Raw genomic sequence first — 12,856 nt, 5'->3', positions numbered from 1 at the left:
GACTGTTTCAAAACCTCCCTCTCCAAAGGAAAGTTCAAATCTGTCGGTTGAATGCACACATCACAAAGCAGTTTCTGAGAATGCTTCTGTCTAGTTTGTATGTGAAGATATTTCCTTTTCCATCATAGGCCTCAAATCGCTCCAAATATCCACTTGCAGATACTTCAAAAGACCGTTTCAACACTGCTCTCTCAAAAGGAAGGTTCAACTCTGTGGGTTGAATGCACACATCACAAAGCAGTTTCTGAGAATGCTTCTGTCTAGTTTGTATGTGAAGATATTTGCTTTTCCATCATAGGCCTTAAATCGCTCCAAATATCCACTTGCAGATACTACAAAAATACCGTTTCAACACTGCTCTCTCCAATGGAAGGTTCAACTCTGTGAGTTGAATGCACACATCACAAAGCAGTTTCTGAGAATGCTTCTGTCTAGTTTGTATGTGAAGATATGCCTTTTACAACGTATTCCTCAAAGAGCTCCCAATATCCACAAGCAGATTCTACAAAAGCAGTGTTTCAAAACTGCTCTATCAAAGGAAATTTTCAACTCTGTGAATTGAACACACACATCACAAAGCAGTTTCTAAGAATGCTTCTGTCTAGTTTTTAAGAGAAGATAATCCTTTTTCCACCATAGGCAACAAATCTCTCCAAATGAACACTACCAGGTTCTACAAAAAGTGTGTTTCAACACTGCTCTAACAAGAGTAAGGATCAAGACTTTGAGTTAAATGCACACATCACAAAGCTGTTTCTGAGAAAGCTTCTGTCTAGTTTTTATTTGAAGGTACTTCCTTTTCCTTCTTAGACCTCAAATCGCTCCAAATATCCACTTGCAGATACTACAAAAAGACTGTTTCAAAACCGCTCTCTCAAAAGGAAGGTTCAACTCTGTGAGTTGAATGCACATATTACAAAGCAGTTCCTGAGAATGCTTCTGTCTATTTTTTAGGTGAAGATATCACTTTTTCCAACATAGGCCGCAAAGCATTTGAAATGAACCCTTGCAGATTCTACAAAATGTTTGTTTCAACACTGCTGTATCAAAAGAAAGGTTCAACAATGTGAATTGAACAAACCCATTACAAAGGAGTTTCTGAGAATGCTTCTGTCTAGTTTTTATGTGAAGATAGTTCTTTTTCCAACATAGGCAACAAAGCACTCCAAAGAACACTTGTAGATTATACAAAAACTGTGTTTCAACACTGCTCTACCTAAAGGAAGTTTCAAGTCTGTGACTTAAATGCACACATCACAAAGCAGTTTCTGAGAATGCTTCTGTCTAGTTTGTATGTGAAGATATTTCATTTTCCACCATACTCCACAAATCGCTCCAAATATCCACTTGCAAATACTACAAAAAGACTGTTTCAAAACTTCTCTCTCAAAAGGAAGGTTCAACTCTGTGAGTTGAATGCAAACATCACAAAGCAGTTTCTGAGAATGCTTCCGTCTAGTTTTTTATTTGAAGGTATTTCCTTTTCCTTCTTCGGCCTCAAATCACTGCAAATATCCACTTGCAGATACTACAAAAAGACTGTTTCAAAACCGCTCTCTCAAAAGGAAGGTTCAACACTGTGAGTTGAATGCACATGTTACAAAGCAGTTTCTGGAATGCTTCTGTCTATTTTTCAGGTGAAGAAATCACTTTTTCCAACATACGCACAAAAGAACTCGAAATGGACACTTGCAGATTCTACAAAAAGTATGTTTCAACACTGCTCCATCAAAAGAAAGGTTCAACGATGTGAATTGAACACACACTTCACAGAGGAGTTTCAGAGAATGCTTCTGTCTAGTTTTTAAGTGAAGATATTCCTTTTTCCCACATAGGCAACAAAGCGCTCCAAATGAATACTTGTGGATTCTACAAAAAGTGTGTTTCAACACTGCTCTATCAAAAGAAAGTTTCAAGTCTGTGAGTTGAACGCACACATCACAAAGGACCTTCTGAGAATGCTTGGGTCTACTTTTCATGTGAAGATACCCGTTTCCAACGAATAACTCAAAGAGTTCCAAATATACACAATCAGATACTACAAAAGCAGTGTTTCATTCCTCCTCTGACAAAAGACAGTTTCAACTCTGTTAGTTGAATGCACACATCTCAATGAAGTTCGTGAGAAGGCTTCTGCCTAGTTTTTTGTGAAGATAGTCCCTTTTCCACCATGGGCTTCAAAGCGCTCCAAATGAAAACTTGCAGGTCCTACCAAAAGACTGATTCAAAACTGCTCTATCAAAAGAACGGTTCCACTCTGTTAGGTGAATGCACACATCACAAGAAGTTTCTGAGAATGCTTCTGTTTAGTTTGTATGTGAAGATATTTCCTTTTCCATCATAGTACTCGAATCGCTCCAAATATCCACCTGCAGACATTACAAAAAGACTGTTTCAAAACTGCTCTCTCAAAAGGAAGGTTCAACTCTGTGAGTTGAGTGCACACATCACAATGGAGTTTCTCAGAATACTTCTTTCTAGTTTGTATGTGAAGGTATTTTCTTTTCCATCTGAGGCCCCAAGTCACTACAAATATCCACTTGTAGATACTACAAAAAGACAGTTTCAAAACCTCCTTCTCAAAAGGAAAGTTCAAATCTGTGAGTTGAATGCACACATCACAAAGCAGTTCCTGAGACTGCTTCTGTCTAGTTTGTATGTGAAGATATTTCCTTTTCCATCATAGCCCTCAAATCGCTCCAAATATCCACTTGCAGATACTACAAAAGACCGTTTCAACACTGCTCTCTCAAAAGGAAGGTTCAACTCTGTGGGTTGAATGCACACATCACAAAGCAGTTTCTGAGAATGCTTCTGTCTAGTTTGTATGTGAAGATATTTCCTTTTCCATCATAGGCCTCAAATCGCTCCAAATATCCAATTGAAGATACTACAAAAAGACCGTTTCAACACTGCTCTCTCAAATGGAAGGTTCAACTCTGTGAGTTGAATGCGCACATCACAAAGCAGTTTCTGAGAATGCTTCTGTCTAGTTTGTATGTGAAGATATGCCTTTTACAACGTATTCCTCAAGGAGCTCCCAATATCCACAAGCAGATTCTACAGAAGCAGTGTTTCAAACCTGCTCTGTCAAAGGAAAGTTTCAACTCTGTGAATTGAACACACACATCACAAAGCAGTTTCTAAGAATGCTTCTGTCTAGTTTTTAAGAGAAGATAATCCTTTTTCCACCATAGGCAACAAATCTCTCCAAATGAACACTACCAGGTTCTACAAAAATGTGTTTCAACACTGCTCTAACAAAAGTAAGGATCAAGACTTTGAGTTAAATGCACACATCACAAAGCAGTTTCTGAGAAAGCTTCTGTGTAGTTTTTATTTGAAGGTACTTCCTTTTCCTTCTTAGACATCAAATCGCTCCAAATATCCACTTGCAGATACTACAAAAAGACTGTTTCAAAACCGCTCTCTCAAAAGGAAGGTTCAACTCTGTGAGTTGAATGCACATATTACAAAGCAGTTCCTGAGAATGCTTCTGTCTATTTTTTAGGTGAACATATCACTTTTTCCAACAGAGGCCACAAAGCATTTGAAATGAACCCTTGCAGATTCTACAAAATGTTTGTTTCAACACTGCTGTATCAAAAGAAAGGTTCAACAATGTGAATTGAACACACCCATCACAAAGGAGTTTCTGAGAATGCTTCTGTCTAGTTTTTATGTGAAGATATTTCTTTTTCCAACATAGGCAACAAAGCACTCCAAAGAACACTTGTAGATTATACAAAAAGTGTGTTTCAACACTGCTCTACCTAAAGGAAGTTTCAAGTCTGTGACTTAAATGCACACATCACAAAGCAGTTTCTGAGAATGCTTCTGTCTACTTTGTATGTGAAGGTATTTCATTTTCCACCATACTCCACAAATCGCTCCAAATATCCACTTGCAAATACTACAAAAAGACTGTTTCAAAACTTCTCTCTCAAAAGGAAGGTTCAACTCTGTGAGTTGAATGCACACATCACAAGGCAGTTTCTGAAAATGCTTCCGTCTAGTTTTTTATTTGAAGGTATTTCCTTTTCCTTCTTCGGCCTCAAATCACTGCAAATATCCACTTGCAGATACTACAAAAAGACTGTTTCAAAACCGCTCTCTCAAAAGGAAGGTTCAACACTGTGAGTTGAATGCACATGTTACAAAGCAGTTTCTGGAATGCTTCTGTCTATTTTTCAGGTGAAGATATCACTTTTTCCAGCATACGCACAAAAGAACTCGAAATGGACACTTGCAGATTCTACAAAAAGTATGTTTCAACACTGCTCTATCAAAAGAAAGGTTCAACGATGTGAATTGAACACACACTTCACAGAGGAGTTTCAGAGAATGCTTCTGTCTAGTTTTTAAGTGAAGATATTCCTTTTTCCCACATAGGCAACAAAGCGCTCCAAAGGAATACTTGTGGATTCTACAAAAAGTGTGTTTCAACACTGCTCTATCAAAAGAAAGTTTCAAGTCTGTGAGTTGAACGCACACATCACAAAGAACCTTCTGAGAATGCTTGGGTCTACTTTTTATGTGAAGATACCCGTTTCCAACGAATAACTCAAAGAGTTCCAAATATACACAATCAGATACTACAAAAGGAGTGTTTCATTCCTCCTCTGTCAAAAGACAGTTTCAACTCTGTTAGTTGAATGCACACATCTCAATGAAGTTCCTGAGAAGGCTTCTGCCTAGTTTTTTGTGAAGATAGTCCCTTTTCCACCATGGGCTTCAAAGCGCTCCAAATGAAAACTTGCAGGTCCTACCAAAAGACTGATTCAAAACGGCTCTATCAAAAGAACGGTTCCACTCTGTTAGGTGAACGCACACATCACAAGAAGTTTCTGAGAATGCTTCTGTTTAGTTTGTATGTGAAGATATTTCCTTTTCCATCATAGTACTCGAATCGCTCCAAATATCCACCTGCAGCCATTACAAAAAGACTGTTTCAAAACTGCTCTCTCAAAAGGAAGGTTCAACTCTGTGAGTTGAGTGCACACATCACAATGGAGTTTCTGAGAATACTTCTGTCTAGTTTGTATGTGAAGGTATTTCCTTTTCCATCTGAGGCCCCAAGTCACTACAAATATCCACTTGCAGATACTACAAAAAGACTGTTTCAAAACCTCCCTCTCAAAAGGAAAGTTCAAATCTCTCGGTTGAACGCACACATCACAAAGCAGTTTCTGAGAATGCTTCTGTCTAGTTTGTATGTGAAGATATTTCCTTTTCCATCCTAGGCCTCAAATCGCTCCAATTATCCACTTGCAGATTCTAGAAAAGACCGTTTCAACACTGCTCCCTCAAAAGGAAGGTTCAACTCTGTGGGTTGAATGCACACATCACGAAGCAGTTTCTGAGAATGCTTCTGTCTAGTTTGTATGTGAAGATATTTCCTTTTCCATCATAGGCCTCAAATCGCTCCAAATATCCACTTGAAGATACTACAAAAAGACTGTTTCAACACTGCTCTCTCAAATGGAAGGTTCAACTCTGTGAGTTGAATGCACACATCACAAAGCAGTTTCTGAGAATGCTTCTGTCTAGTTTGTATGTGAAGATATGCCTTTTACAACGTATTCCTCAAGGAGCTCCCAATATCCACAAGCAGATTCTACAAAAGCAGTGTTTCAAACCTGCTCTATCAAAGGAAAGTTTCAACTCTGTGAATTGAACACACACATCACAAAGCAGTTTCTAAGAATGCTTCTGTCTAGTTTTTAAGAGAAGATAATCCTTTTTCCACCATAGGCAACAAATCTCTCCCAATGAACACTACCAGGTTCTACAAAAAGTGTGTTTCAACACTGCTCTAACAAAAGTAAGGATCAAGACTTTGAGTTAAATGCACACATCACAAAGCAGTTTCTGAGAAAGCTTCTGTCTAGTTTTTATTTGAAGGTGCTTCCTTTTCCTTCTTAGACCTCAAATCGCTCCAAATATCCACTTGCAGATACTACAAAAAGACTCTTTCAAAACCGCTCTCTCAAAAGGAAGGTTCAACTCTGTGAGTTGAATGCACACATCACAAAGCAGTTCCTGAGAATGCTTCTGCCTATTTTTTAGGTGAAGGTATCACTTTTTCCAACATAGGCCACAAAGCATTTGAAATGAGCACTTGCAGATTCTACAAAATGTTTGTTTCAACACTGCTGTATCAAAAGAAAGGTTCAACAATGTGAATTGAACAAACCCATCACAAAGGAGTTTCTGAGAATGCTTCTGTCTAGTTTTTATGTGAAGATATTTCTTTTTCCAACATAGGCAACAAAGCACTCCAAAGAACACTTGTAGATTATACAAAAAGTGTGTTTCAACACTGCTCTACCTAAAGGAAGTTTCAAGTCTGTGACTTAAATGCACACATCACAAAGCAGTTTCTGAGAATGCTTCTGTCTAGTTTGTATGTGGAGATATTTCATTTTCCACCATACTCCACAAATCGCTCCAAATATCCACTTGCAAATACTACAAAAAGACTGTTTCAAAACTTCTCTCTCAAAAGGAAGGTTCAACTCTGTGAGTTGAATGCACACATCACAAGGAAGTTTCTGAAAATGCTTCCGTCTAGTTTTTTATTTGAAGGTATTTCCTTTTCCTTCTTCGGCCTCAAATCACTGCAAATATCCACTTGCAGATACTACAAAAAGACTGTTTCAAAACCGCTCTCTCAAAAGGAAGGTTCAACACTGTGAGTTGAATGCACATGTTACAAAGCAGTTTCTGGAATGCTTCTGTCTATTTTTCAGGTGAAGATATCACTTTTTTCAACATACGCACAAAAGAACTCGAAATGGACACTTGCAGATTCTACAAAAAGTATGTTTCAACACTGCTCTATCAAAAGAAAGGTTCAACGATGTGAATTGAACACACACTTCACAGAGGAGTTTCAGAGAATGCTTCTGTCTAGTTTTTAAGTGAAGATATTCCTTTTTCCCACGTAGGCAACAAAGCGCTCCAAATGAATACTTGTGGATTCTACAAAAAGTGTGTTTCAACACTGCTCTATCAAAAGAAAGTTTCAAGTCTGTGAGTTGAACGCACACATCACAAAGAACCTTCTGAGAATGCTTGGGTCTACTTTTTATGTGAAGAAACACGTTCCCAACGAATAACTCAAAGAGTTCCAAATATACACAATCAGATACTACAAAAGGAGTGTTTCATTCCTGCTCTGTCAAAAGACAGTTTCAACTCTGTTACTTGAATGCACACATCTCAATGAAGATCCTGAGAAGGCTTCTGCCTAGTTTTTTGTGAAGATATTCCTTTTTCCACCATAGGCTTCAAAGCGCTCCAAATGAAAACTTGCAGGACCTACCAAAAGACTGATTCGAAACTGCTCTATCAAAAGAACGGTTCCACTCTGTTAGGTGAAAGCACACATCAGAAGACGTTTCTGAGAATGCTTCCGTTTAGTTTGTATGTGAAGATATTTCCTTTTCCATCATAGTACTCGAATCGCTCCAAATATCCACTTGCAGACATTACAAAAAGACTGTTTCAAAACTGCTCTCTCAAAAGGAAGGTTCAACTCTGTGAGTTGAGTGCACACATCACAATGGAGTCTGTGAGAATACTTCTGTCTAGTTTGTATGTGAAGGTATTTCCTTTTCCATCCGAGGCCCCAAGTCACTACAAATATCCACTTGCAGATACTACAAACAGACTGTTTCAAAACCTCCCTCTCAAAAGGAAAGTTCAAATCTGTGAGTTGAATGCACACATCACAAAGCAGTTCCTCAGACTGCTTCTGTCTAGTTTGTATGTGAAGATATTTCCTTTTCCATCATAGGCCTCAAATCGCTCCAAATATCCACTTGCAGATACTACAAAAGACCGTTTCAACACTGCTCTCTCAAAAGGAAGGTTCAACTCTGTGGGTTGAATGCACACATCACAAAGCAGTTTCTGAGAATGCTTCTGTCTAGTTTGTATGTGAAGATATTTCCTTTTCCATCATAGGCCTCAAATCGCTCCAAATATCCAATTGAAGATACTACAAAAAGACCGTTTCAACACTGCTCTCTCAAATGGAAGGTTCAACTCTGTGAGTTGAATGCACACATCACAAAGCAGTTTCTGAGAATGCTTCTGTCTAGTTTGTATGTGAAGATATGCCTTTTACAACGTATTCCTCAAGGAGCTCCCAATATCCACAAGCAGATTCTACAGAAGCAGTGTTTCAAACCTGCTCTGTCAAAGGAAAGTTTCAACTCTGTGAATTGAACACACACATCACAAAGCAGTTTCTAAGAATGCTTCTGTCTAGTTTTTAAGAGAAGATAATCCTTTTTCCACCATAGGCAACAAATCTCTCCAAATGAACACTACCAGGTTCTACAAAAAGTGTGTTTCAACACTGCTCTAACAAAAGTAAGGATCAAGACTTTGAGTTAAATGCACACATCACAAAGCAGTTTCTGAGAAAGCTTCTGTCTAGTTTTTATTTGAAGGTACTTCCTTTTCCTTCTTAGACCTCAAATCGCTCCAAATATCCACTTGCAGATACTACAAAAAGACTGTTTCAAAACCGCTCTCTCAAAAGGAAGGTTCAACTCTGTGAGTTGAATGCACATATTACAAAGCAGTTCCTGAGAATGCTTCTGTCTATTTTTTAGGTGAAGATATCACTTTTTCCAACATAGGCCACAAAGCATTTGAAATGAACACTTGCAGATTCTACAAAATGTTTGTTTCAACCCTGCTGTATCAAAAGAAAGGTTCAACAATGTGAATTGAACAAACCCATCACAAAGGAGTTTCTGAGAATGCTTCTGTCTAGTTTTTATGTGAAGATACTTCTTTTTCCAACATAGGCAACAAAGCACTCCAAAGAACACTTGTAGATTATACAAAAAGTGTGTTTCAACACTGCTCTATCTAAAGGAAGTTTCAAGTCCGTGAGTTAAATGCACACATCACAAAGCAGTTTCTGAGAATGCTTCTGTCTAGTTTGTATGTGAAGATATTTCATTTTCCACCATACTCCACAAATCGCTCCAAATACCCACTTGCAAATACTACAAAAAGACTGTTTCAAAACTTCTCTCTCAAAAGGAAGGTTCAACTCTGTGAGTTGAATGCACACATCACAAGGCAGTTTCTGAAAATGCTTCCGTCTAGTTTTTTATTTGAAGGTATTTCCTTTTCCTTCTTCGGCCTCAAATCACTGCAAATATCCACTTGCAGATACTACAAAAAGACTGTTTCAAAACCGCTCTCTCAAAAGGAAGGTTCAACACTGTGAGTTGAATGCACATGTTACAAAGCAGTTTCTGGAATGCTTCTGTCTATTTTTCAGGTGAAGATATCACTTTTTCCAACATACGCACAAAAGAACTCGAAATGGACACTTGCAGATTCTACAAAAAGTATGTTTCAACACTGCTCTATCAAAAGAAAGGTTCAACGATGTGAATTGAACACACACTTCACAGAGGAGTTTCAGAGAATGCTTGTTTCTAGTTTTTAAGTGAAGATATTACTTTTTCCCACATAGGCAACAAAGCGCTCCAAATGAATACTTGTGGATTCTACAAAAAGTGTGTTTCAACACTGCTCTATCAAAAGAAAGTTTCAAGTCTGTGAGTTGAACGCACACATCACAAAGAACCTTCTGAGAATGCTTGGGTCTACTTTTTATGTGAAGATACCCGTTTCCAACGAATAACTCAAAGAGTTCCAAATATACACAATCAGATACTACAAAAGGTGTGTTTAACTCCTGCTCTGTCTAAAGACAGTTTCAACTCTGTTAGTTGAATGCACACATCTCAATGAAGTTCCTGAGAAGGCTTTGGTCTAGGTTTTACATGAATATATTTACTTTTCCACCTTAGGCTTCAAAGAGCTCCAAATGAACACATGCAGATCTTACAAAAAGACTGTTTCAAAACTGGTCTAACAAAAAAACGGTTCCACTCTGTGACGTGAGTGCACACATCAGAAAGCAGTTTCTGGGAATGCTTCTGTTTAGTTTGTATGTGAAGATATTTCCTTTTCCATCATAGTACTCGAATCGCTCCAAATATCCACCTGCAGACATTACAAAAAGACTGTTTCAAAACTGCTCTCTCAGAAGGAAGGTTCAACTCTGTGAGTTGAGTGCACACATCACAATGGAGTTTCTGAGAATACTTCTGTCTACTTTGTATATGAAGGTATTTCCTTTTCCACCTGAGGCCCCAAGTCACTACAAATATCCACTTGCAGATACTACAAAAAGACTGTTTCAAAACCTCCCTCTCAACAGGAAAGTTCAAATCTGTCGGTTAAATGCACACATCACAAAGCAGTTTCTGAGAATGCTTCTGTCTAGTTTGTATGTGAAGATATTTCCTTTTCCATCATAGGCCTCAAATCGCTCCAAATATCCACTTGCAGATACTACAAAAGACCGTTTCAACACTGCTCTCTCAAAAGGAAGGTTCAACTCTGTGGGTTGAATGCACACATCACAAAGCAGTTTCTGAGAATGTTTCTGTCTAGTTTGTATGTGAAGATATTTCCTTTTCCATCATAGGCCTCAAATCGCTCCAAATATCCACTTGCAGATACTACAAAAAGACTGTTTCAACACTGCTCTCTCAAATGGAAGGTTCAACTCTGTGAGTTGAATGCACACATCACAAAGCAGTTTCTGAGAATGCTTCTGTCTAGTTTGTATGTGAAGATATGCCTTTTACAACGTATTCCTCAAAGAGCTCCCACTATCCACAAGCAGATTCTACAAAAGCAGTGTTTCAAACCTGCTCTATCAAAGGAAAGTTTCAACTCTGTGAATTGAACACACACATCACAAAGCAGTTTCTAAGAATGCTTCTCTCTAGTTTTTAAGAGAAGATAATCCTTTTTCCACCATAGGCAAGAAATCTCTCCAAATGAACACTAGCAGGTTCTACAAAAAGTGTGTTTCAACACTGCTCTATCAAAAGAAAGGATCAAGACTTTGAGTTAAATGCACACATCACAAAGCAGTTTCTGAGAAAGCTTCTGTCTAGTTTTTATTTGAAGGTACTTCCTTTTCCTTCTTAGACCTCAAATCGCTCCAAATATCCACTTGCAGATACTACAAAAAGACTGTTTCAAAACCGCTCTCTCAAAAGGAAGGTTCAACTCTGTGAGTTGAATGCACATATTACAAAGCAGTTCCTGAGAATGCTTCTGTCTATTTTTTAGGTGAAGATATCACTTTTTCCAACATAGGCCGCAAAGCATTTGAAATGAACCCTTGCAGATTCTACAAAATGTTTGTTTCAACACTGCTGTATCAAAAGAAAGGTTCAACAATGTGAATTGAACAAACCCATTACAAAGGAGTTTCTGAGAATGCTTCTGTCTAGTTTTTATGTGAAGATATTTCTTTTTCCAACATAGGCAACAAAGCACTCCAAAGAACACTTTTAGATTATACAAAAAGTGTGTTTCAACACTGCTCTACCTAAAGCAAGTTTCAAGTCTGTGAGTTAAATGCACACATCACAAAGCAGTTTCTGAGAATGCTTCTGTCTAGTTTGTATGTGAAGATATTTCATTTTCCACCATACTCCACAAATCGCTCCAAATATCCACTTGCAAATACTACAAAAAGACTGTTTCAAAAGTTCTCTCTCAAAAGGAAGGTTCAACTCTGTGAGTTGAATGCACACATCACAAGGCAGTTTCTGAAAATGCTTCCGTCTAGTTTTTTATTTGAAGGTATTTCCTTTTCCTTCTTCGGCCTCAAATCACTGCAAATATCCACTTGCAGATACTACAAAAAGACTGTTTCAAAACCGCTCTCTCAAAAGGAAGGTTCAACACTGTGAGTTGAATGCACATGTTACAAAGCAGTTTCTGGAATGCTTCTGTCTATTTTTCAGGTGAAGATATCACTTTTTCCAGCATACGCACAAAAGAACTCGAAATTTACACTTGCAGATTCTACAAAAATTATGTTTCAACACTGCTCTATCAAAAGAAAGGTTCAACGATGTGAATTGAACACACACTTCACAGAGGAGTTTCAGAGAATGCTTCTGTCTAGTTTTTAAGTGAAGATATTACTTTTTCCCACATAGGCAACAAAGCGCTCCAAATGAATACTTGTGGATTCTACAAAAAGTGTGTTTCAACACTGCTCTATCAAAAGAAAGTTTCAAGTCTGTGAGTTGAACGCACACATCACAAAGGACCTTCTGAGAATGCTTGGGTCTACTTTTTATGTGAAGATACCCGTTTCCAACGAATAACTCAAAGAGTTCCAAATATACACAATCAGATACTACAAAAGGAGTGTTTCATTCCTCCTCTGTCAAAAGACAGTTTCAACTCTGTTGGTTGAATGCACACATCTCAATGAAGTTCCTGAGAAGGCTTCTGCCTAGTTTTTTGTGAAGATAGTCCCTTTTCCACCATGGGCTTCAAAGCGCTCCAAATGAAAACTTGCAGGTCCTACCAAAAGACTGATTCAAAACTGCTCTATCAAAAGAACGGTTCCACTCTGTTAGGTGAACGCACACATCACAAGAAGTTTCTGAGAATGCTTCTGTTTAGTTTGTATGTGAAGATATTTCCTTTTCCATCACAGTACTCGAATCGCTCCAAATATCCACTTGCAGACATTACAAAAAGACTGTTTCAAAACTGCTCTCTCAAAAGGAAGGTTCAACTCTGTGATTTGAGTGCACACATCACAATGGAGTTTCTGAGAATACTTCTTTCTAGTTTGTATGTGAAGGTATTTTTTTTCCATCTGAGGCCCCAAGTCACTACAAATATCCACTTGTAGATACTACAAAAAGACAGTTTCAAAACCTCCTTCTCAAAAGGAAAGTTCAAATCTGTGAGTTGAATGCACACATCACAA

The 12,856-nt window shown here is 38.1% G+C and overlaps 1 annotated feature.

The window, feature by feature from the left end:
* Positions 1–12,856: part of a centromere (Linear centromere model derived predominantly from reads generated in PMID: 17803354. This region does not represent an actual centromere sequence, as long-range ordering of repeats and unmapped WGS contigs is not provided by the model. For details of model production, see http://arxiv.org/abs/1307.0035.) that runs on past both edges of the window.

The sequence above is a fragment of the Homo sapiens genome, chromosome 5, assembly GCF_000001405.40.
Source record: "Homo sapiens chromosome 5, GRCh38.p14 Primary Assembly".
Taxonomy (NCBI): Eukaryota; Metazoa; Chordata; class Mammalia; order Primates; family Hominidae; genus Homo; species Homo sapiens.
The sequence above is the reverse complement of the archived record's forward strand: the minus strand, read 5'-3'. Positions and strand labels throughout refer to the sequence as shown.